At 35.6% G+C, this 27,136-nt stretch overlaps 1 protein-coding gene across 33 annotated transcripts in view; it reads right to left on the bottom strand.

Moving 5' to 3' along the window:
• The window catches only part of PCM1 (pericentriolar material 1), a 106,961-nt gene that overhangs the window by 62,431 nt on the left and 17,394 nt on the right, over positions 1–27,136 (bottom strand). For 25 of the 33 annotated variants that reach the window (NR_148032.2, NM_001352633.2, NM_001352650.2 and 22 more), the window contains 15 exons: positions 20,155–20,332; positions 16,794–16,903; positions 14,332–14,548; positions 11,865–12,048; positions 10,741–10,914; positions 10,097–10,254; positions 9,743–9,978; positions 7,353–7,504; positions 7,074–7,203; positions 5,344–5,484; positions 4,227–4,417; positions 2,750–2,950; positions 1,300–1,519; positions 1,045–1,190; positions 348–538 (listed from right to left, as the gene is read on the bottom strand). Coding sequence is in view for 32 of the 33 variants with exons in the window: in NM_001352633.2 (NP_001339562.2) it covers positions 348–538; positions 1,045–1,190; positions 1,300–1,519; positions 2,750–2,950; positions 4,227–4,417; positions 5,344–5,484; positions 7,074–7,203; positions 7,353–7,504; positions 9,743–9,978; positions 10,097–10,254; positions 10,741–10,914; positions 11,865–12,048; positions 14,332–14,548; positions 16,794–16,903; positions 20,155–20,332 (2,629 nt within the window). In the remaining variant the exon portion in view is untranslated. Of the gene's footprint in view, positions 1–347; positions 539–1,044; positions 1,191–1,299; positions 1,520–2,749; positions 2,951–4,226; positions 4,418–5,343; positions 5,485–7,073; positions 7,204–7,352; positions 7,505–9,742; positions 9,982–10,096; positions 10,255–10,740; positions 10,915–11,616; positions 12,049–14,331; positions 14,549–16,793; positions 16,904–20,154; positions 20,333–27,136 lie in introns of those variants that run through there. The other 8 variants (NM_001352635.2, NM_001352648.2, NM_001352636.2 and 5 more) reach the window with 2 other exon arrangements.

Raw genomic sequence — 27,136 nt, 5'->3', positions numbered from 1 at the left:
TGACCAACATGGAGAAACCCCATCTCTACTAAAAATACAAAATTAGCTGGGCACGGTGGCACATGCCTGTAATCCCAGCTACTTAGGAAGCTGAGGCAGGAGAATCCCTTGAACCTGGGAGGTGGAGGCTGCCGTGAGCCAAGATCATGTCACTGCATTCCAGCCTGGACAAGAAGAGTAAAACTCCGCCTCAAAAAGAAAAAAAAAAAAAAGAGTTTGTAACTTTCTTTGCAAACATTTCCTACCCCACTCCAAAAGAAAATGTTAAAACATCTAGGCAATAGACAAATTACGTTGTTCCAAACACTTTGCTTTTATTTATTTTCTCTTTAGGTTAAGTCACCTACCTGGTGCAAATGATGAAAAGTTAGTAAATCCAGGTATATTGAAGAGATTTACAGGCTGTGTTGGAAAGCTGAAAGGACAAAATAAACTGGGAGAAGGAGGGTGCGATGCACTACTGCCTCTTTCCTTGCCTCCAGGTTTTTCTGGATGCTGATTTTGCTGGCGCATAAGTTCATTTAGCATTTGTTTCAACCTACAAAGATTTAAGTCAGTAATCTAAGAATCAGTTATATTGCCATATATATAAAGTACATTCAGGAAGAATACATGTAAAAAAATGATTCAAAAGCATGCAGACAAACTGCTCTGATACTGTAACAAATACGTGCTTGCTCTATAAGGCTTAATTCAATAACTTTCCCTCTGGAACAAGAAATGAACTTAGTACTTCTGTCCGACAGTCGGTAAAACTGTAAGAAAATCACTTTTTTGTTTGTTTATAGCTTCACTGTGGTACAATTTACACACCATAAAATCTGCCAAAATATAAGTAAAATTCAATAACATAAATTTATAAAAACAGAAATCCATGGTATTAAAAGGAAACATTAGGTAAATCACCACTTATAAAATTCTCAAGGGAAAGAGAATGTCCAAATATGCAATTTGGTCTTGCTCTTTTCTCCCAGAAGCTAACTGTAAAACCTCTGCTCAATGTTAGCTCTTATACAGTCTCAATACTTCTAAGAAACAGATTACCTCTGAACATTATTCTGTTGCCATGTTAGCTGAGTATAGCACTGGTTCAACTGGTGCATTATGAAGTGTACTTGAGGAGATGCAACATTGCTGGGCATAACACTGTAAGGACCCGTGAGAAGAGTTTGTAGCAGACAAGATAGAGTCTATTGAAAGAAAATGTTTGTTAATAGTTACTGATGACTTGAGAAAAATTTGTATTGCTTCAGAAGTTATAAAAATAGACGAAAAATATACTTTCATAGCAAATTTTACCTGCTGGTCTTGCATCAAAGTCTGACAAATACTGACACTAAAATCAAGCTGTTTCTTTAGCTGATTGATTTGTTCTTGCCATTGTTCTTTCTCTTCTACGTAAGAGAGCTCTGACACCCAACGAAGGTTTTCTTGCCGTTGCATGCTGATATTCTGTTGCCTTGTCTTGGCTAAAGGACGATAATTTTCATCTGCCGAAAAAGGGCAATTGTTCTTCCACCTAACACAAGATTGAAAGCATTAAGTCATCATACATAATAATTTGGTTTTTAAAATACAGCAATAAACTCTGATACTCAGGCCTATGGGCCAATATTCTGTTTTAAATTAAAAGAACATACAAAGTATTAAAAAATATAGAGGGGGGAGAAGTCCAGATCTTTAGCTTTGTACAATTATTAGTTTTCATTAGTCTCCAGTCTTTTTCATGTATGTTTTTACACAGCAGTGTCCATATAATTAAGTATTCTGCAAAATAAAAATATTTATTATGTCACAAGTAGTTTTCCATTCTTCACGCTTTAAGTTCAACCACATAGTATTTCATCAAGTGGAGCTACTGTATCTACTTCACCATCTGTTATTCATGAAGAAATTTTCAGTTATAATTATTAGTAACAATGTAATAACATCTTTGTTGGCAGACTCTTTTCACTATCTACAATTTGTTATTTTTGCTTAATTCTCAACAGCAGGAGTGAAGACTGATCCAGTTTACCTGGATCTACTGGAACAACATTCTTGTGGTATAATAAAATATCTATCTGTTCTTTGTGCCTGGTTCCTAGCACAGAGCTCCTAAAACCCTTGGAATCTCCCAAGTGATAATGTCTTTTGTTATCCGTAACAAGCCCCTTTCAACCAGATGTGAATTTTTGCTAATGAGAACAATCACCAACAGTCAACAATTTTATCAATTGCGCTTAAGCAATGAAATCTCCTAAAAAACCGTAAACAGAATTCAGGCAGCTTCTGGGTCACTGAACACATCAAAGTGCTGGGGAGGGTGGGACACACAGAGGAAACCATGGAAGCTCTGCACACCTCCCCAACCCACACACTGTCCTAACACACCTCTTCCATTTGGCAGTTCAGAATCCTTTATAAGAAATGAGGAAACGTAAGTAAGTCTTTTCCTGTATTTCGTGAGTTGTTCTAGCAAATAAACCTGAAGGGGATTGTAAGAACTCCCAAATTTCTAGCCATGTTGCACAGAAGTGTGGGTAACGTGGGGACCAAGCAGTTGAAATTGAAGTCTGAGGTGAGGGCAGTCTTACTGAACTGAGCCCCTTAACTTGAGGGGTCTGCACTAACTCTGAGTAGTTAGTGTAAAAATTGAATTGAGTTGTAGGACATTCAGTTGGCTTGGAGAACTGCAGAAGTGCTTGCTGTCAGTCAAAAAGACCTGAGCCTCTTAAATTAAGCACAAAATTAAAATACTGAAACTAACCTATTTTTAGTTTCCTTTCCATTGTAGGAGTTATGATTCACACTGTTAGAAGGACACACAGAAAAGTTATCATTGGAACTGGCATCTTGCTCTTCTTCCTCCTCTTCATCTGTCCGAACAATTCCTTCAGAAAGGTAACCGTCTTCATCTCCTTCTTCATCTAGTGCACACTGGGTAGACCCTCCCCAAGTTGCCATCGTTCTAGTGATTAAGAGACATAAAACAGATGTCATTCTGGAGATAAGTTAAATACTCTGCCACCTACTATGTGCCAGACATTGTTTCAAACATACATATACATGTCTGTATATAAAATTTCATTTAATCACAATAACTATGCTACGGGTGGCACTCTCCCTATTGCTGTTATATACAGAATATGTTTAGTTTGCCTTCCTCAAAACAATTCTTCAAATACATTTAAATAATCATCATATCCCCTGGGACTACTTCCCAAAGCTAAACTACCCTTAACATTTGCTTGAGGGAGTTTTCAAGATCAGTGCAGTTCAGCAGAACTTTCTATAATTACGGCAATCATCTGTATCTGTGCTATCCAATACAGTAGACACTAGGTACACATGGCTACTGAGCACTTAAAATGCAGCTAATATGACTGAGAAAATAAATTTTTAATTTCATTTGATTGAAATTTAAATAACCACCTATATCTAGTGGCTGCCATACTGGACAGCAAAAATCCAGACCAATGATTCTGAAACCAGATGCTCATCAAAACTATCTGAAGAACTCTGTAGAAGAACAGACGTGTAGTACCCAGAACAGAATAAAATATTGTAGATATAGTCTGATCAGTAAAATGCATATTGGGACCCCAAGAATAGAAGTTCATCTGAGAAGAGAGTAGGGCTTGGTGCAAAACTCCAGAAATTCCAGAAATGCCATCTGAGGATATCAAAAGGGAAGGTCATAAACAAATCTATATTTCAAAATTTTTGATATGGTTACTACTATATAGCTAAATAATTCACTGATCTTATAGATGACCAACTCTTTTAGAAATATTCTAAATATGGACATTTTAAACTGAAATCCTAAAAACTAAATGATTATAATAAAATGTTTTAAGATCCTTAAGAACCTTACAAACAGCAGATACTCAATTTAAGCAAAAAAGGGCCTATTTCTGGCCTGACAGAAAAGCACTACAAAATATCAAGCATTTTCTTTTTATAAACTTAACTAATAAGGCTTATACACATAAGAAAATCTGTATCACCATTTGATCAAGTGCCATAGTAATTTAAGACAAAAGAGAAAGCTGATGCTACGAGAAGTCAGAACAGAAAGTGGCTGGATTCAATTAAACTGGGTCACAAAGGTGGTAGTTAAACAGTAGCCTCACTGAAATAGCAGATTTGTGCTGTGATGTAGAGGAGAAATGTGGCTGCCTAGCCTACAGGTCAATCTTCGGCAGGTGACATTTTTAGAAAAGTGATTTATGCAGCTCTCTTACTTTTCTGTTCTACTTTGCTGAGGAGTACATAGGTTCTCAGATCCATCACTTCTCAATGACACAGCCACTGGAGATGCAGTTTCAGCTAGACCTTGCCTCCTCTGATGTTCAGCCATCAGAGCTTCAAGCTGCTTTCTTCTCTGTCGCAGCTCCTCCCTCAACATTTCATGTCTTCTCATTTCTGACCACAACTATTTTTTTTAAGAAACCAGAGTTAAATAAATATTTGGATTTGCTGTAGCCTAAAAGAGTAAAAGACTACTAGTATTGTCAGTATCAACAAAGGTTTCTATTCTCATTCTCTCCTTTTCACACTAACATGTCCATGAAGGTTAAAATAATAATATAGTTATGATTACAAAAAAATCAGCCAATTTTTTTTTTTTTTTGAGACAGAGTCTCACTCTGTCATCTGGGCTGGAGTGCAGTGGTGTGATCTCGGCTCACTGCAACCTCTGCCTCCCAGGTTCAAGTGATTATCCTGCCTCAGCCTCCTGAGTAGCTGGGATTACAGGCGCCCACCACTACACCTAGCTAATTTTTTTTGTATTTTTTAGTAGAGATAGGGTTTCACCACGTTGACCAGGCTGGTCTTGAATACCTGACCTCATGATCTGCCCACCTCAGCCTCCCAAAGTGCTGGGATTATAGGTGTGAGTCACCGCACATGGCCTATTAATAGAAACAAGTAGAACTCAAATATACTTCAGAAATTATTTAGGAAAAATTATATTTTCTACAAACCACATATAAATAAAATGTCAAAGGATAGGTCTTTCTAACTGAAATGATTACTATTTGCTGCAACTACCCCCCTATATATTTCTGCCAAATATTTACTAACAAAGAACATGGATATTTTTAAAAGATAATTACTTTTTAGAAAAAATTATTTAAAACTTTTCAATTAAAGTTTAAAAATTAAAATGTTTTATCTTTCTTATATTATTATAATCTATTACATTTTTGTGTCTACTAAAAAAGGCACAAAGCAGACTACTATTTACAAACATGTTTCAAGGATATTCAGTTTCCTTTCTTGAGATGTGCCTTATTGAAGAAAAAAAAAGGAAAACAAAAGACTAACTCAGGAACAAGAGAGTACAATTTACAATACCTCATTATCTACTATTGAAGAATCTTCAGGCTCAAAAACAGATTTGCTTGTACTGGTCTCGTGTTGATTAACAGTTGGGGTTGAAGTAACAGCTGGCATATATTTTTTGGTGGGACAGTTACCCACACTAGCAGCTGACAGCTAAAAAGGAATTCACAAAAAACGTTATGAGGAATTAAAGCAATTATATTAATTTCATAAAAGCAGTTACTTTAAATATGGCACTAAGGCTCTAGTGCCATATTTAATCTGCTATCAGACCCTGACTTCCATCATCATCCGAAGATAACATGAAATAAGAAAACAAAGATGAAAACACAAGCTGAGGTTAACAAACACAAGCCCTCAGAAACAACAGAAACAACAGGGATAAAACATAATGGAAAATTTTGTATACTTAACCCACCTTTGCAACATATTTCTCTAGACATTATTTAGATTGGAGATAAGGAGAGAAAAAGGATTAGATACAGTAGGAAAGGCAAGGGTTTAGAAAATGAACACAGTTGCCCTGTTTTCCTTTCTTTGAAAACACAACCTAACTGAAGATAAAGCTAGCCAATAGGCCGGGAGCGGTGGCTCACGCCTGTAATCCCAACACTTCAGGAGGCCGAGGCGGGCGGATCACGACGGCAGGAGACTGAGACCATCTTGGCTAACACGGTGAAACCCCGTCTCTACTAAAAATACAAAAAAATTAGCCGGGCGTGGTGGCGGGCACCTGTAGTCCCAGCTACTCGGGAGGCTGAGGCAGGAGAATGGCGTGAACCCAGGAGGTGGAGCTTGCAGTGAGCCGAGATTGCACCACTGCACTCCCACCTGGGCCACAGAGCGAGACTCCGTCTCAAAAAAAAAAAAAAAAAAAAAAAAGCTAGCCAATAAACTCTGGGAAAATATCAGAAGGAATTATTATCCCCTTCCCATATTATTAACTGATTATTTGATATCACCAAAGATATCTTATTTTCTGTTCAATCTCAAGACCCATGTATAAGATCCTAGTTAATAAGCAAAAGTATATACAACTTACTCTTTAAACCACATACAGTTATTTTCCTTAGATATCTTATGGTGGCTTAAAGATTTTATTATATTATTTCAGGCCAGTAAAAGATGGAAATGCTGGTCCATAACTGCAAAAGTCAAATCAGAATATTTTAACATAATAAACAGTTATGAGTACACATGTTCTGAATCTATGGCCAGCCAGCCCAGTAAGAATGAAAATAATGAGTCAATTCCTATGTGCTGTCTTTTACACTGTAAACGTATAACCCCAACTCTTCATTAGTTCATCCACTTCATTAATCACAAAATTACTAGATATAATTCTGTCACCTTAATACTAGAAAAAAAAGAGTAGTTTCTCGCGCCTGTAATCCCAGCACTTTGGGAGGCTGAGACGGGCGAATCACGAGGTCAGGAGATCGAAACCATCCTGGCTAACACTGTGAAACCCTGTCTCTACCAAAAATACAAAAAATTAGCCAGGCATGGTGGCGGGTGCCTGAAGTCCCAGCTACTCAGGAGGCTGAGGCAGAAGAATGGCGTGAACCTAAGAGGCAGAGCTTGCAGTGAGCCAAGATCACGCCACTGCACTTCAGCCTGGGCAACAGAGTGAGACTCTGCCTCAAAAAAAAAGAAAAACAAAAACAAAAAAGAGTACTTTCAGTTGACCTAAGGTTTTAAACATCTTTTTTCAGACAATTAGAAATAAATTTCATAATTACCTGTAAGTCAGGGCATGCCGTTTGCAATGCTTGAATTTTCTCCTGAATGTCAATCAGTTTCTTTCTTTCTTCCTGCAATTGTTTTAGCTCTCTCTGTTGCTGCTGTAGTTTAGCCTCATAAAATTTCTCTCTACAATTAAATTGACATTATATTTATGGACTCCAATAAAATGTGATGAAGCATTAGGCACAACATAACACAGTACCTAGCTGAGCACCTTCTCCAAAACAGGCACTAAATTTTTATTATATTAAATGAAGGCCAAAAGCTTAACATACCTTGCCTTTTCATTTACTCCAGTATCTTTCTGTGTTTTATTGGCATTTCCTCTAGTGTTATTTGAATTTTGCTTGGTGTCTTCTTCTGCTGGGTAGAAATCATCCAAATTTGATGCACTGGCAGAGATAACTCCTTGAGCTGCATCATCATCCTGAAAGAGCATCATTACATTAAAACAATCTTGATACCTCAAGACATTATCCAATTCATACCTTAGTAAATACCACTAGTCTGTAAAATTTACATAAAAAGATTAAAGCAGTAAAGAAAGCACGTTTGTATACATGTGTACACGTGTTCAATATATATTTGTTTACACACGTTTGTATTTGCATACATGTTTATCTCACCTCAATAACTCTTCTTATAATTGGGAAATTTGGAAAAGGCCAATTCCAGTAATGGTTAAACAAGCTACGGTATATCAATAAAATAAAACACAATCAAGGGTGTGGAGAAACGAACTCTCACATACCACTGCTTAAAATATAAAAAATACATATAGAAAAATATGAATACATATCAAAAATTCTATACATATAGAAATATAAATACATACGGAAATACATATAGAAAATTGCTCTCTAGAGACCAATTAAGTTGTGTCCTTTAAAATGTACACCAACTGACATAGTAGTTCCACTTCTCCAAATCCTTCTTAAAAAACACAAATGCACAAAAGCTTGTGCAAGTATATTCTTTGGTGCATTGTTTCTAAATAGCGAAAGATTGAAAACAAGTATATAGTAACTGGATGCTATTATACATTAACTAAAGTCCATCGATATACTGAAAACTGTACTGCAGCTACAAATAACTATGTACTGTGTGTATATATATATATGCAGTATTATTTATATTTTATAATTATCATATTTGTGTTTCTTAATTACTTATAATTATATAGAACTATACTGACATGAAAGTTCTCTGAGACAATGTGGAGTGGGGAAAAAAGGAAAGCTATAAAATAATACTTAGTGTATTATATATACAGTTTGTAAAAACAAAGAAACATACCACAAAACGTCATGTATTTTTTTAAAAATAGGTGCATAGTGATGTACCTAACTGCAGAGAAAAGGCCTAGCAACTTCAGTGAAGAAGAATAGGATTATTAATGGAGGTAAAGACAGAGTTTATTAGTAATATGTACTTTTTGTGCCTGCAATCTGAGCACTTTGGGAAGCCAAGGTGGGTGAACTGCCTGAGGCCAGGAGTTCAAGACCAGCCTGGCCAATATGGTGAAACCCCATCTGTACTAAAAATACAAACATTAGCCAGGTGTGGTGGTACACATCTGTAATTCCAGCTACTCGGGAGGCTGAGGCAGAAGAATCGCTTGAACCCGGGAGATGGAGCTTGCAGTGAGCCAAAATCATGCCACTGCACTCCAACCTGGGTGACAGAGCAAGACCTTGTCCCCAAAAAATAAATAAATACAAATACGTACTTTTTTTGAACCGAGAGAGCACGCTCACCTTTTACTTGAGTAATTCAAAGTACATAGCATTTCAAAAGAAACTGTTAATAAAACTTGAGGTTTTTCACTCACAAAAACCATTTTATATGATTTTTATATATATATACACAACACCTTTATAAATGTGTTAATAGTTACACGGTAATACAATTATAGTTAATTACATATTTATACAATTATAAGTGTAGGCATATTTTGTGTTAATAGTTATGTAACTATAATTGTATATTTTTACATTTGTATAAATATACAATTGTACATTATAGTTAATTGTGTAACTATAATACAAAATATGTATAAACTGCTTTTTAAAATTTATGATTAATAGTTCTAACTTTAACCTTACTGAATAAGATAACATATGGTTTTTCTTTTATATACAGTAGGTTAAGATCGCAGGCTCTGGTATCAGGAAGTCTGAATTCTGGATTGGACAGTCATATAAACTTCGGCAATTAAGATCTCTTTAACCTATTTAATGTCTACCTCATTGAGATGCTGCAAGTTGTACATAATATAAGGCCAGAGTTGTCAGCAAAACAACAAAAACAACAAAACCTCTTCTGTTTTTGTAAATAAAAACAGCTATATTGTTTATAATAAAATAAAGCTATATTGGCAAATAATCATTCTCATTTATGTATTATGTATGGCTGCTTTTGCATTGTGAAATTGTGACAGATACTATATCGCCACAAAGCCGCAACTATCTAACCAACTCACTCTTAATTTAAAAAGGTTGCTGACCTCTGACATACAGCATGTAAAGTGCTAAAAATTTAAACCTCACATATGATACATAAATGTGTATTAGTATAATTAAACCAAAGTAATTATCATACACAAATTTTACTTAAGACTGTACTATTTGACAAATAGGTTTTTAAAAGACCAAGCAATATTTACCTGTACCATAGCAACAAGATCTTGTAACTGTCTAAGTTTCTGTTTTGCAGCCATAAGTCGGTTGATCTTCTGTTCAAATTCAGCATCTTCTGGATGCTCATCAACCAGACTGCTCCTGTGACTAGATAATGAAGCTCCACTGACTCCCTCCTCTTCTGCTTCTTCCTCCTCCTCCTCATCATCTTCACCTTGTGCAACATGAATCTCCTGTTCCCCTTCTCTATTATATCGACAATCTGCTGAAAACATGTATAATTAAAACCAGTAACTTTTAAAGGAAAGAGCACACATGAACGAAAACCCACTTTGTAAGAATAACACAGCAAAATTATATGTAAATACAGTCAGTCATACCTAAAGAAGGAGGCATGTTTAGAGCCCTTATGTTGGCAGCAGATCTGTTGTTAATTTCACAATTAGAATTAACTGTTCGCCCATCTCTATTATTAGAAACACACTGTGCATTACTATGACTATTTACTTCATTCCAAGTGGAAGCTACTTGTGGATTTCTAGAAGAAAGAAAACAGCCTGAAGTCATTTAAGGCACAAAAAAAGAGAGAAAGAAATCCAAGTTTAGAACTGCTAATAAAATAACACCAAACCAAGCACATTGTTGGCTATTCCATTTAAATTCAAATTGAATAATCGACTCCTGCTTTTCATTAACTTCTGCATATGTGCTATTTAAGTAGAAAAACATCTGAAAAAATGAAAATTACGCCTAAAAAGAAAAAGACAGCAAAATGCTAAGTTAGATACATCTCATGATTTACTCGAATTCAGTCTAACAAAGGGCAAATTTACTGAACTATTGTACTCCATACTTCCCTATTCATCTTTCTTCACAGGGCAGAGATGATTACACTGACCAAAATAGTAGAAAGCTTAAATAAAAGGCAAATAGTAAATACTACAACGAAGTATTTTTGTTCCCACATTATAAGTATCAAGACAGAATGAATATGCTGGAAAAACATCCCCAGAAAAGTTCTTACCGAATGTTAGTAACAGGCTCGGAATTTTCATGCTCAGAATCATATTCTGACTCTTCAGTTTCTTCATCTTTCCTGTTTTCATTCACAGCATCTGTCATCATGTCTGACGTTTGTTCATAATAATGAACTAATTCTCTTAGCTCATTCAATCTCTTTCGAACTTCATTTAACTTCCTGATAAACAAAAAATTTATGTATACGATTTACACCCATTTTAGCAAAATAATACAGACATTATTTTCATATCATAGCAGCTAACAGAAACAAAATTTAGACCTAATGGAATATCCACCTAGTGAACTCTCCAGGGGGTATGACTGTAAAATAATGAGGTTAATGCCAAGTACAGCTTACTCAAAATCTCACATTATTTTCTTATGCTGTTTTAGGGACAAAAGTGTAAGAAAACCAATTTCAATTTAATTGTTCATTTTAAGCAGGTGTAAATGTTAATAGCAGAAAACCTGATGTCAAAAAGATTTCTAGTTTCTCAAGTATCAAAAGTGTGAAGTACTACTAAATACTACCTCTCAGGAAAATCAGGTATACAGACATTACTGAGCATGTATGGAAGGTTCTTGATTTGTCTGCACATATGAGATCTATACACTACATACTACGTTTACCAAAAATAAAAATTAAGTTAGCTGAGTTCTTACTGTAAGTGCCAGGAACTGCGCCAACGTTTTTTAATGAAAACATATTTATCAACAGGTATATTATCATCCCTATTTTGCAGATGAGGAAATACAGGCTTAGTAAGGCTAAGTTATTTGTACAGGGTAACACAGCCTTGTGTGATACAATTTCAGGGCTGTCTGATTCTACAGCCTGGTCTCTAAACCATCTGAATATAGAAATATTTTAACTGTAATCTTATTTTTGATCCTTTATTTGAAAAACAAGAAAGTAACATCAGTTCACAGAAACTATGTTACATCACATCTCTTAGACAACTCAAATTATGCCCACACAACACACACACGCCTCTTCTACCTATCCCTTAAGAATGTTTACAACAATATTAAATAAATCTCGTTTTGCAGAATTTTCAACATAAAAAAAAAAACAGAATTTATCCCTATTATTTAACTTCATGTAAACAATGATTATAAATGTTTTACTGGAGTTTTTCAGATGGATTGAGGTGGCCTTCGTTTTCACTCTCATTCTGAGATACTAGAGAAGCAGTAGGATAAGGAACAGATGATGTGAGGCTATTGGATTCTCCATTGACAACCGGTGCCAAGCCTACAGAAGCAGAGGGAGCTGAAGTACTTCTCTGATCGACACTCCTTTGTGGAGAGGCTGAAGAAGGCACAACAACAAAAAATTTTTTTTAATCACCAGTTACCATAAACAAACACATACAGTTGGCTTGGATATTGAAAACTAAAAAGTAAAAATTAACAACTTAATTTCTGCAGATTTAAATTTCAGAAAATTGTTTATTAACTTACTCCACAATTAAACACATCAAAATGTACAAAGACTTGTTTACCTCTTTCTTCCACAGGTTCTATCACCTTTACAATATAACCACTGGGTTAAAACAGAAAGGAAAGAAAAAAGATGGAAATTGACAAGAATAATGATATTCTACCTTGGAAAACTAACTAGAGAAGTACTCTAGTTAGTTTTAACTAACGAGTAAACTTGGTAACTAACTTGATAAACTTGGTTCTAGGTTAAGTTAAACAGGGCCACTATGAATCATGTGCAGTACTCAATCTGTAATCTTTACAGGGTAGCTGTAGCTGATTAGGTCTTCATCAGTTTTTCATACCCACAGATCAGGGGGATGTCACATCTGGACACCAAGAAGGAACTTTTCTTGCTCCAGGAGAGAAAGAAAAGTGTTAAAAGTGACTGTGGTACCTCAAACCATGAAATATTAAACAGCAATAAAAACCTGCTATTTAGATAATGGCTAATCCTCTATGGTCCTTGAACTAAATTTAATTACTTTCTATTTAACTTCTGTTACTATCAAATATAAATCATGCTTTCAAGAGGAATTAAAGATTAAGAATCTTTGCACTTCTCTACCTCCTACCATTTCAAAGGTGCTGTCATTTACCAGTATCTTTCTCAAAGGAACCATCATTATTTGTTGCTCACTTTAGTACCACAATTCCTGTAGGTGGTTTCCAGCAGTCTCCTCATTCTATTCCTTGACGAGTCTACCTTTTGCTGCTGCTCTCACACTGCTTCCCAGTGAGGAAAAAAATAGGCTTTAAGAGTCATCAGTATACGGAGTGCTACTTTATGCATACAAAACTGACGACAAGGACTTAAGCGCAACTTTCACATGTTAAGTTGTTTTTTTCTTTTCTTTTTTTTTTTTTTTGAGATGGAGTTTCACTTTTGTTGCCCAGGCTGGAGTGCAATGGCACGATCTTGGCTCACCACAACCTCCGCCTCCCAGATTCAAGCGATTCTCCTACCTCAGCCTCCGGAGTAGCTGAGATTACAGGCATGTACCACCACACCTGGCTACTTTTGTACTTTTAGTAGAGACGGGGTTTCTCCATGTTGGTCAGGCTGGTCTCGAACTCCCGACCTCAGGTGATCCACCCGCCTCAGCCTCCCAAGGTGCTGGGATTACAGGCGTGAGCCACCACACCCAGCCACACATCTTAGTTGTATTCATGTGTTTGTAAAGGATAAAAACTGGGATTATACTCTAGAGGAGAAAGAGACTAGCAGAAGTCAGAGAAAAGAAAGGAGTATGTTTTAGGACAGGAATATTAAGGTTCTTTTGTGGGTGGAAAAGGAAAAGGAGATAGGTGGAGAATAAGGACCAGAGGCTCCAGAGACAATGGTTTTGTTATTTTTAAATCCCTCATCTTTTCTTTAATTAGACAGCAGCTAGAATGTTTAAAGACTAGTTGGAAGTTGTCCCTACTGACTTCAATTTCTAATGCTTGAGCCTCTATTACTATTTGGATATGAGACAGGGGCCATGTTTGAAAAGGTATTAGGATAGGAACTGAAGACTAGATCTGATTTAGACAAAGAAGGTTAAACACGTGTGGAGCAAAAAAGATAACTCCCGCAGTTATACCTGCTTGAGATGATTATTTATATATTTTTTAAAAATGAATATAAATCCAGCAGTTGGAAGTTCTGGGCTCTCTAGACTAAACCATATATAAAAGTTTTTCATAGTTTTGTTTTTTGTTTTTTTTAATACACACTATGTTTCACAGTTTTGGGTTTTTAAATCAAAGTACTAACTGGATTAACTTTTCTTTAAGGGAAAATTTTGAATGTTAAGAAACAAAGTATTAATATGTCCACGTATCAAACAGTTGCCTTCTCTTCTACCTTTCCCTTATTAAAATCCTACTAATTTTTCAAGGTCCAACTTTATTCTTTCCCTTTTCTGAATTATAAAACTGATTTATCACCTATTTGGCTTTCATATATATTGGCTTGCAACTTAGAAACTTTTCATATGCAAGTCTTAAGTCCCTACAAATATTTTTGAGGAGCTATGTGTTCATTCACCAAATACTAAATTTATTATGTGACAGTATATATACTTGTGTGTCTTATACCCAATACTGCTGAACCAGATTTACTCACATGATGAATTGTTAAGATGCTGATCTCGAAGTGTATGAAGTTCTCCAAGCAATTTGTCCATTTTTTGTTTCTTTTCCTGTAGCACTCTCATTTTGCTAAAAAGTTCGACTTTCTCATCAGGTAAACGTTCTGAAGCTGATGGTTTCCTGCTCTGGGAAACCTCCCTAGTTAATGAAAGACTTTCTGCCTGTCTTCTATTGTCTGGAACAGCTGGAGGCTTATTAAAAAAAAACAACAAAAAAGAAGAATTAAGACTAACGCAATTAAATGCATTCTCATTTTTTAAATGCATAAATATTCTTTATAAAGAGAAAGAAATATTTGCTAGGCTGTGCTGGTAGGTAAGTATATACCCTTACTATTCCCAAATTAAATACGGTTTCCTGATATGCCACTATTAACATATGAAGTCATCCCTCAGTATCCATGAGGGATTGGTTCAAGGACCCCTGGGGACACCAAAAACAACAGATACCCAAATCCCTTATATAAAATGGTGTAGTATCTGCACATAATCTACACACATCCTCCTATATACTTCAGATCAGCTCTAGACTACTTATAATACCTAATACAATATAAACACTATGTAAATAGCTGTTATATTTTTAAATTTGCATTTTAAAAATTGTTGTGTTATTTCTCCCCCCAAAATATTCCTGATCCATGGTTGGTTGAATCCATGGATGTGGAACCCACAGATACTGAGAGCTGACTCTACATAGTTTTAGAGACACATGACCACACAGAGGTCTTGGATTCACTAGACATCAGTAATTGAATCAAAAGTAATAACAATGCCACGTTACATAAAATAAACCTTCAAAAATCTCATTCTCTCTCTTGCCTTCTTTCTAGAACTACCACTGTAAACTTTAACTTCTTAACCTATCAATTTTTCCCACCACTTCTCTCTCATGTTCCTTTATTTTTTATTTATTTATTTATTTATTTATTTATTTTTGAGACAAAGTCTCACTCTGTGGCCCAGGCTAGAGTGCAGTGGCGTGATCTCAACTCACTGAAACCTCCGCCTCCTGGGTTCAAGCGATTCTCCTGCCTCAGCCTCTCAAGCAGCTGAGATTACAGGTGCATGCCTCCACACCTGGCTCATTTTTGCATTTTTAGTTGAGACAGGGTTTCACCATGTTGGCCAGGCTGGTCTCAAACACCTGACCTCAAGTGATCCACCCGCCTCGGCCTCCCAAAGTGCTGGGATTACAGGCATAAGCCACCGCACCTGGCCTTTTTTTAAATTTTTTTTAATTATGAAACTTTGCAAGAATCCACTAGGGCTTAGGAAATCATATAATGAATATCTCCCATTATGCTTAGTCAAATTTTAAGATTTTCCCATATTTGCATCAATTATTTTAAGAAAAATATAACATTACAGATTTAACTAAAGCTCTGTTTGTACCCTTTCCAATGTCATTACCCACTCCAAAGGTAACCCCAACCTGGAATCAGGCATCTACCATTCTCTACATGTTTTTATTTTCTAATGCCTATGTATACATACATTAAAAATGTAGACTTTTTTTAAAATAAGGTAAGTGGGATCCTTCTTAAACTTGAATTTTGTATTCATTAGCAATGGCTTATTTACTGTAACTGCTATAAAGAATTTCACTCTATGTAAGAATTCATTAGCCCATTTCTGTTGATGGACATTTGGGCTGTTTCTGGTTATTTGCTATTAACACAGAGTTGCCATGAATATTCTTCCATCTACCTCCTTCTGAACATGTGAGAGTTTCTCTAAAGTAGGCCCCAGGTCTACCAGAAGAAATTTACTAGGTACTGCTATATAACTCTCCAAAGTGGTTGGGCCATATTCTCTCATTTTCACTTGGTCAGCAAGAAGACAAGAGACACTGCATCTTCAATCATACTCACTTCCAATGGAGAGGCATTAATTCATCCTTTCTTACCCAAGGCCCCCATATTGAAAATCTGCATTTATATCACTTACAAAGTGCATCAAATTATAACACTTGCTAACTCTCAAATTAAGAACTTTCTTAAAATTGTTAGTAAAATATTCCTTCAAATGAGAATTCCAAGGCTGTATAGAATCCCATGTATCTAGTCGAAGGACACAGATTTAAAGCAAAGTCTTAATCGTTGTGACCATTAAGTCTTTTAGAGGAAAAAAGAATACGTCATCCAGTAGCATACAAAGAAAAACTTCATTAATCACTTCCTTCAAAGTAAACTCTCCTCTAATTTAGTGATTCTTAAAGTATAGTCCCCAGGCCACCAGCATTGGACTGAGACGTGGAGAAGCCCACCCCAAATCCATGAATCGTAATTTTGAAGGTGGGGGGGACCCCACCAATCAGAAACCTACACTGCTCAACAATCATGCCAGGTGATATGTATGCTCACTGAAGTTTCTGAATCACTGTTCTAATTAATGTGATTTTTTAAACTCAACTATACTAAAACATCTAGGTTACCTGAGAATCACGAAGCTGATTATGAAAACGCTGAATTAAGTCATTCAATTCTTCATTTAGTTCAGATGTGATACTGACGCCAGATAAGCTACCTGCAGTTTCTGCAACAACTGGAAAGAAATTAGTAACTACTGATTAATGTAAATAATCAAACACCTTTTTTAATCTCTGAGAAGCTAAAAATAAATTTAAAAAAAGAATTTAAAAAGCTCACATACGTAACTTGAAACTAGTTAACAATCCGATCTATCTGCCAACAATCATTTTATTAGAAGTTACCACCTAACTTAAAAATAAAGGGATGCTCACAAAACTCTGGTAAAGTGGTTCATCTTTTCCTGTCCCAACATACAAGGAGGGTTACTATTACATTCCAATTAATAGTAGTGACTCAGTGGAGCAGGTCTAAGATCAGTGAGGAGTGAAAGGGAAAGTGATAGTGTAAAAAAGCACAGCTGATTCTGACAGGTTTCAATCTCCATGTTCTTGAATAGAATCAATTCTCCGGTAGAGGGGCTGGCAAACTTTGCTTAAAGGTTGAAATAGTAAATATGTTAAACTTTGTGGGAAATACAGTTTTTGTCTCGACCACCCAACTCTGCTTTTACAAGGTAAAAGCAACCACAGACAATGTAAACAAAAGGGCATGGCTGTGTTCCCTAAAACTTTATTTCAGGCAATGAGCCAAACTCAGCTGACCATAGTTTGCTGACCCCTGCAGTAAAATGGATAATTTATTGAAGTGGCTGTTTGTGATACAAGTCATACTAAAAGACTGTGGTTTTTATCTTCTTAATTTAAAAAAAATGCCCCCATATTCATAAAGCAGTTTTGTGACAACAATTTTCATGATAGTCACTGTTCTACTAACAAATAACTCCATCCTTAACCTGACTTCTAACTCTCCAACTCTAAAACAGACATTGGTGGCCAGGTACAGTGTCTCACACCTGTAATTCCAACACTTTGGAAGGCCAAGGTGGGCAGATCACTTGAGCGCAGGAGTTCAAGACCAGCCTGGGCACCACAGTGAGACCCCATCTCTACAAAACTACAAAAATTAGCCCGGCGTGGTACAGCACGCCTGTATTCCTAGCTATTCAGGAGGCTGGGGTGAGAGAATCACTTGAACCTGCGAGGCAGAGGCTGCAGTGAGCCAAGATCACGCCCACTGTATTCCAGCCTGGGTGACAGAGCAAGATCCTGTCTCAAAAAAAAAAAAAAGATAAAGAAAAAAGACAATTAGTTATAAATTGCTTCTGTTTTAAAGGAAAACACTACCTTTTTTCCACTGAGAACTGAGAATTTCAAGGCTATATAGAATCCTATATGTCTAGTCAAAACTCTATGCTGAGAAGAAAGAAATTACAGTAATTATATGTAACTTGTTAGTTAAATGGTGAAAGGGACACTCTTTGAGGTAACATAATTATCCCAAGATAATGTCTCATATACTAGATTAAATACTGTAATTGTAGCTTTCCATGGCTTTTCATTAGCATGCCCCTGCAAAATCTCATAAATACAAGACTAAATTTGTTTTAAAATTACTAAGCTAAAATTCTTTTTGAAATAGTATGAAGTTCAAACTCATGTGCATTATACTCCTATTCTCTGACTCATAATAGTATTTTTTAAAAAGAAATTATCTGCTTACTTTCAAAAGTTCATATTCAGAAAAAGAAACAAGACCCCTGACCTACAATTCAAGAAATGTAATTCTGCTAAAATTCTATATAAATCTAGGCAAGCCACAAACTCTGTAGAGTTCCTTCTCTATAAAACAGAAATAAGAATTAAAGCTCTGACTAACCTAGAAATCTCTGATGATCAAAGGAGATTATGCAAGTTTAGAGATTAATATTAACTACCAAAGGAAAGCTTTTAAATCTGATATTCCAAACTCGAAAAATATTTAAAAGGTTAGTCATTAACCAAACTAGTACTAGTCATTATGTTAAAGCATTTTAATTATCTTTTCCTAAATTATCTGTTTCCTAAATATAAAAGCTAATGGTACTTTAAATTTTACAATGGAGAAATGGGGACAAAAATCTTTGTAATTATTACTGTATACAGTACTCTATACAGCTATATCATTACTACAAAAGAGTAAGTTATTGACCAGGCACGGTGGCTGACGCCTGTAATCCCAGCACTTTGGGAGGCCAAGGCGGGCAGATCACAAGGTCAGGAGTTCAAGACCAGCCTGACCAATATGGTGAAACCCCGACTCTACTAAAAATACAAAAATTAGCCAGGCATGGTGGTGCGCACCTGTAATCCCAGCTACTCAGGAGGCTGAGGCAGGAGAATCACTTGAACCTGGGAGGCAGAGGTTGCAGTGAGCCGAGAACATGCCATTGCACTCCAGCCTGGGCAACAGAGCAAAACTCTGTCTCCAAAAAAAAAAAAAAAAAAAAAAAAAAAGAGGTTATTTGAAAGTCATAACGTTCCTTGTGAAAATGCAAACTTAAATTAGGTATAACAGGGATTAGACAGGTGAGCCAGTGGGCTAGGTTTGGACAGCAGAATAAACTGATTCACAACAGGGTAGCCTCAGTGAGAACCTAACTCACTCGCAAAAACAAAGCGCTCAAAGAAGAGAAATTATTACTAAAAGCAGACAGTGGGGGATAGACTATTAGAAAACATAACTTAGTTTTGTTGACTTTTAATAACTAATCATCTTTTTTTGCAATTTAACGAGAAACTAAAATAAGTTTGAAGGTGATGATAAACGTACAAAATTAGACTCAATACTAAGAAATTCAACACAACTTTCATCTAATTCACACATGGCTATGAGGAAAGGAGGAAGAAAATTTCTGAGTCTTACGAAGAATGTATACACTATAAATATAGTTCCAAGGAGCTAGCATATACAAAAGGATACCTAATTAAAATAACAGCTACTAGCTACTACTAACCTTGAAGGTTAAAGACACTTTATAAATTTACTCACTGCCTCACTTAAGGTTTTAACCCTTTCTTGGGAGGCAAGCAAAGAATGACAATCCTAGCTGAATAAAATAGAAAAAAAGGAAATAAACGCATCATGAGCCTTATCAGTCTGAGGTACAAAAACAGAACTACAGCCTGTCTCTTTTACCTCTTAAGGGTACTCTCTGATGAAAAGGAGAGAGATCTGGCTATCTGCATGGTATAGTATGATGGCCAGTTGTCCCTGCAACCTTTTCTGCATAACCAGAGAAAAGCACAGGAAAGTATAAGCCTCATATGAAGGTTTCTAAACTAGACAACAATCAAGATCTGATTATGTAATAATCAGCATCCACCCTGCAATACAATTATGTATGAGTCTTCCTTACAAAAAGAATATTCTCAGACTGTGACATACCAGAATCATCCATCACTGCAATAGCTTGCTCTGCTTTATGTTGCAGAGCTAGAAGTGCAGCCTGCCGTCCCTGTAGAGCTCTTAGTTGCTCCTGCTGTTGTAACATTCTTTTTAATAAATCATGTTGTTTCTTCAAATTTTCTATCTCTTCCATAGGCTCCTGCTGAGGATCTCTGGCCTGGAAAATAAGACCAACAATACTTGTATCTGACTATTAAAATCCATGTTGCGGTTTCAATTATCAATGGCAAAGTATACACATTGATAACAAATTATTAAATATACAACCCTAAATATAGTTTTAGTAGACATCAAGAAAAAAGAGTAAGAACAGAATGATGACACAGAGATATATATATAGCCTGCCACTTAAGAGGTAATTTCACAGTAAAAAGCTACATAATCAATGGCTCAGCAGGAAGAGGAATGAACAAAAGGAAAAGAAAAAGATATACAAAACATAAAAGGCCAAGAGGGACACGGACACATGGACACACACACACACACACACACACACACACACACACACACTGAAGAATCTAGGCCCCTACAGAAAAGGAGCACATTATACTGGGTTAATGACCTGAAAGTCTTGTAATCCTAGCACTTCGGGAGGCCGAGGTGGGCAGATCACAAGGTCAGGAGTTTGAGACCAGCCTGACCAACATATGAAACCCCATCTCTACTAAAAATACAAAAATTAGCCGGGTGTGGCGGTGTGCGCCTGTTATCCCAGCTACTCAGGAGGCTGAGGCAAGAGAATCGCTTGAACTCAGGAGGTAGAGATTGCAGTGAGCTGAGACTGCACCATTGCACTCCAGCCTGGGTGACAGAGCGAGACCCCGTCTCAAAGAAAAAAGAAAAAAGGAAAAAAAAAAGACTAGAAGTAATATTTAAAAACAACAACAAAACCTAGAAAGTAGGCACACCTACTATTTCTAACAAAGGACTGAAATTTTAAAAATACATTTTTTATTTGATAATCTTATGTAAAAAGATTTTCATTTAATCACATCATATTATCAGACATCTAAGAAAATAACGAATTTTATATTCGTCATCAAAGGCATCATTATTTTCCTCTTAAATTATGCTCATTCATCTGAGTCTGATGACATAAAATGGAAGTAACTACTTCCAAATTCCCCGAAAATGCTAGGAGGTTATCATCTAGTCTAAAAGTAGAGGGATGGATTAAATAAGTGGCACTTACAAAAAATGATGAAATTTTAAGTGTTAATCTTAAAACTATTCAAAATGTAATCCAACAAGAAAATGGAAAAGCAAAGCAGAGACAAATTTAAATACAACCTGGAAACAATATATTACAAGCTAAATTATACATCGAAACGTATACCGTAATTGTATTTTTCATCACCGATTTACCTTTTAAAAAGTCTTTTATTTTAAAAGTTGAACGATTTTACCTAATATTTACATAAAATATTTCACTTTTGTTTCACTTAGTCAATTTTAAATTTGTACTGCTAACAAATTTTTGTCGGGTTATGTAAATTTCAAATAAATGACTAAAGAGAGCAAAGAAGTTCAAAGATTTCTTTTGAAAGTAAAAATGCACTGATCTACACTTGCTATGTACATTTGATTCCCAGAGAAATTATGGAGCATGCAGATGGGCTCAAGAGAAACTCCCTTCTGGGTGACATCCTTTACAATACTATATAAAAATTTCTTTACCTCCCCAAGTAGAACTCATCAGTATTGTGAATGAGCATGAGTAACTGTGGTAATATTTTACACTGTGACTTGGAAATCCATAAAATTAATAAGTAAACAAATAAGTACATGGCAAAGAGTTAAATATTCAAGAAAGTTATGATCAAATAGGAAGTTGGCTATAATTAGATTATTTCATGTAAACATCAGAGGTGCCTAGTCAGTGCCTCTCTATCCTAGACTATCTCTAGACTTCATGAGCATGGGAAACAAATAGCCTACCTGGATCTTGGTAAGCCAATATTTATTAGAGGTTTTTCTGTTGTCTTGAACCTCTAATAAACTGAAACTTTTAACAAATTAAGTACTGTTTACTCAGTTCTCTCCTATCCTATATAAGGGGAGTTACCTTGTAAATATTTACATCCATTTCCGTGGAAATTCATCCTAGTCTGGCTTATTTCCAGACAGTTTACATCATTAGGAAAAAAACAACTTTGAAGGGTAGGGATAATTATCAATAGCTAGCCCTCTCAGAATGCAGCAAAAATAATTTTATAATGATTTCATCAAAGTCAACGGTAAAATGTAAAACCAAATCAAATAGGTACAGATATCAATGGAAGGGGTAAAACAAAATCTCTCTAGGTTGATCAAATACTCCTCTAGCAAAGCATAAATTATAATTAGGAGAAAAAAATATGCAAATGAGAAAAAAGCGTACTTTCTAAAAAGTTCTTTAATCCTTATTAGTCACAAAACTGTGATAACCTAATCATAAAGAATTCTAAGCTATTAAACACAATTATCTTCAGATTTCTCACTAATCTAAAAATGAATTCTCAATTTTCAAAATTAGTGAAATATTACTACTTAATAACTTTCACATTCATATAAACAACATTTCAGACTGATGCTCAAAAAAACTGAGCCAAAAGATGGGAGTACAGCCTATGATGAAATATACAGAAGGGAGAAAATAAAAATATCTAGGTAGGAGTAATAACATACCAGGAAGATGGCACCTGGAATAGAAATCCAAAAAGGATGCTAGGTGTATATTAATTCTTCAAACACATATTTTTCTTTAAACTTTTTTTGAAAAAGTCACTTTCACCAACTATATTTTTAGTTTACAGATTAAAAAAATAACTTAGGCATCAAACCCTGAGTTGTAAATATGTAGTAGTCCAATTTCAGAGAACCCTCAATCTTCCTTTCCTCTACTCAACTGAGGTTCTCCTAGTAATTATTAATGGATCCTAATGTATTTTGACAGCTTCAGATAATTATGTACTTCAATTTCTTCATGTGAAGGTTGAGGAACTATAAGCCTAGAGAAGATAAAGTTGTGACTTATCCAGTGTCACAGTTAAGGGAAATCAGGTTCTTAGGCTCTAGTCTTCTTTACGTCATACTATCTGCTCCAAATTATGTGCTGGGTTCTAAATACAGAAGTATAAGACATCATGTCTGAAGAACCATAGCTGGTTTAAAAGACAGGGCAATCTCACACGAAATAACTAGCAATGATGAAAATAATGGCAAAACACAGGTACAAGGTACAAAGAAAGCTTATAAATTTTAAGAGGTGAGATTAAGTTGGGGGCCATGAGTATAGGAAAACAATGAACGCATGGCTACTCGTAGAAGGCTTTCTTTTGCCTTCTTCTGACATCTTATACAAGATGTCATCATGTCTTAAAATATTTCATAAAGTGGAATGTGCCCTTGGTAGGCAGCTCTAGAATATCAATCATTTCATATCATGCGTTAAGTCTCAAGGTTGCTTTCAACCTTGAATCGCATGTAAGACCCTCAACTGTGTTTTCCACTATTCTAACAGAATACTACATTTTGAAAAGATTCTAAGGAGGAAACAGGGGTGGGGTGGTAAGAATGACAGTTCCTGCAGAGTAGAGAAAAAAATAAACACAGGTGGTGAGAATTAAGATTTTTTCCCCTGAAGAAATTAAAATGTTTTTACAAATAGAATACTAACAGAACAACGAGACAGCCTTAAGAATCAAGAAAGTCAAAATGAAATAAATGCCAAGAAGAGAATTCAAAAAAGAATAATAATCACTTATAAGGATATTATTCAAAGAAACCTAAAAACAGCAAAGTGGTTTTTAAATTATATGTAATGCCTTAAGAAAAAAAGAACTGGCAGATACTGCATTAACTGTTAACTCTTAAATTTCGCTTGTCACTATTCAGAAGGATTAAAGAGAATAAAATTCCAATGGTTACCTATTATGCTTCATGTTTATTTGCTCTTCTCCAATGCCACTAGTTTTTAAAATAATCAGCTACTTTATTCACTCTACTGGTGAACTGGGGCACATTTTACTTGATATTTGATATAATAAGATTCCCATAACTAATTTCAAACTGTGCTCTCAAATTCTTGTAGGAACCAGAAAAAATAAAAAAACTGCCAAAATACTAGAGGTGAAGTTTTACCATTTGTAAATAGCCACACACACCAAAAAAAAAAAAAAAATACAACAAACCCATAAAATAGCCACAAAATGGGAAAGTGTAGTCCTAGGTAATAAACCAGTAATAAAACATATGAAATTAGTCTTACCTATACTCAATTACTAAAATAGTACTTTGCTCCTGCCAACAGATACATGCACTTTTATAAATGGTATTTTTATTCAAACTCTTTTTTTTTTTTTTTTGAGACAGAGTCTCGTTCTGTCACCCAAGCTGGAGTACAGTGGCAGGATCTCGGCTCGCTGCAACCTCCGCCTCCAGGGTTCAAGCAATTCTCCTGCCTCAGCCTCCTGAGTAGCTGAGATTACAGGTGCATACTACCACACCTGGCTAATTTTTCGTGTATTTTTAGTAAAGACAGGGTTTCACTATGTTGGCCAGACTGGTCTCGATCTCCTGACCTCGTGATCCGCCTGCCTCGGCCTCCCAAAGTGCTGGGATTACAGGCGTGAGCCACCGTGCCCGGCCTATTCAAACTCTTTTTATGTGGAACTACAAATAGTTGTCTTTAACTCTATCTGGAATGCCATTATGCAAATCATGGAAAATTAAAAAACCAATTAAACACTGCAGAAAAAACCAGCAAAAAAAGAGGCAACCAAGTCAACTGGATAATTTTTCTAAAAAAAGCAAATGAAAGGGGTTTCCAAAAATAAAAATATAAACCAAAAAATCTGACAAACTACCATCTAAATTTATTTATTTTTATTTCATTATTTTTTTTTTGAGACGCAGTCTCACTCTGTCACCCATGCTGGAGTGCAGTGGCTCACGGCAACCTACACCTCCTAGGTTGAAGCGATTCTCCTGCCTCAGCCTCCTGAGTAGCTGGGATTACAGGCGTGCGCCACCGTGCCCAGCTAATTTTTGTATTTTTAGTAGAGACAGGGTTTCGCCATGTTGGCCAGGATGGTCCCAAACCCCTGACCTCAGGTGATCCGCCCACCTCAGTCTTCCAAAGTGCTAGAATTACCACGCCTGGCCCCATCTAAATTAATAAACACAAATATCAGAAACAAAGGGCAACTGACTGATGGTCAAGGTTTAAGAACGTGTTATAAATTATACTCGCAATTTATAAAAAAGGGAATAAATTACATTTCAAAACCTTTGTTAATATAAATTAAAAACAGCTGTAAGCTATAATCCATGGAGAGGTATATAACAAAGTAGAAAAAAAACAGTAAGGGACAGAATTTTACTAAAGCAAATTACAGTATGACAACTATATTAACAATTAATATGTAAGAGTAATAGCAACAACAGAAAAGCAAATAAAGAAGAGGAAATATGAACAGAAGAAGTGCTCATTTAGAGACTTCCCAAGTTAATATTGTAAAGTATACCTTTGAGGGAAATCCACGTTTTTGGCTATATTTCCTATTAGGCCTCAGTTCCCTGTCATTCTGAGGTCTGTCACCTTTCCCTTTTGGACTTGTAGTAACGTCAATGTCTGAAACCTGTTCTTGTGAAGCTGAATTCCCTAGTTTGTCCTCAATGCACGGCCGAATTCTCAGACTAAAAGATGCCTCCTCCTTTATTAAATAGTGTAGCATATTAAATTCTTAACACAAACTCCTGTTTAACATATAAGCCAGCCTTGTAAAACAATTTAAAAAGTACCAGTCCACCTTTTTTTTAAAAAAAAAAAAAAACAAAAATCAATCCACATCCCCCTCCAAGCAGCAGTATATTTAGTCTTTTAAGTTTTCTGTAGACTAGACTGTTGCTTACTGTAACTAAGCAAGTACCACATCCTGCGGAATTACCATACCACACAGTTGTTAAAGCACATTTTTAACATTTACTCTGCTACATGTTATTAGTCAACTTTCATACCGTCATTTTATATTATGAAAGAAATTGCCATCACAATGAATACTTTATATAAATTACAATAAATCTATACAAGTTCCCACTCCTCCCCAACAGAATTCCTTTACCCACATCGTCCTAACCCTTCCATTTCTGCTGGAACCTAAGGAAGAAATTATGCCTCGCACCACTGTAAATAGAAAAAGAATTTCCCCACAGTAAAATCCATTCTTCAACAACTGTTTGGATCAGGCTCTCTAAGTATCTCCTGTTGAAAATAATGTAGAGAAAAGAAATCCAAATCACCTCTTCAAATTAGGAAGGTCCGGGAAGAGAAAGGAGGCAGGTAAGAATTATGCAGGTCAATACTAATAGGAAACAAACCTTCAAATTCCTAATGCTGAATGGCATTTTGAACACCTCAAAACCCGAAGAGATATATGCTTATCCTCTCAAAACAAAAGCTTTACTAGCCTGTAATAGGTGTTAAAAGCTTAATAATGCATGGTTATAGGCACGCCTGTTTAAAATGCCTAAAAACACCCTAGCATTGAACCACACTAAGTTTTAGAAATCTTTCCTCAAAGTTCTGTAAATTACTATTCTTCAGAAAAACAGTACTTCAACAAATTCCATTTTGCCAAGTCAGCAATTACAGCATTTTTCTCATTGTGAATAAGTCACAATGTAAATGCTATCCTGTCCCATTTACTAGTCTTTCTCTCGATTTTTCAGTCATCTGGTTTTGCTCCAGTACTAGGATAGAGCCCAAAAAATGAAAAATTCTAATATCCTTAACGTGTCCTCAGTGACAAATGAACTTGGTTATTTCCAAAAGACTACATGCTAAGTAATCACTAATGTTGCCTATTGCCCTTAATTCCACCATCCATTTTAACTTCCTCGATGCTTCTTAAAATTAGTGAAGCTTTGCTTAACAAAACAAACTACAAAAACAATGTTTCTATAAACTGAAGATCAAAAA

This window comes from Homo sapiens, chromosome 8, assembly GCF_000001405.40.
Source record: "Homo sapiens chromosome 8, GRCh38.p14 Primary Assembly".
Lineage (NCBI taxonomy): Eukaryota > Metazoa > Chordata > Mammalia > Primates > Hominidae > Homo > Homo sapiens.
This window is presented reverse-complemented; position numbering and strand designations above follow the sequence as displayed.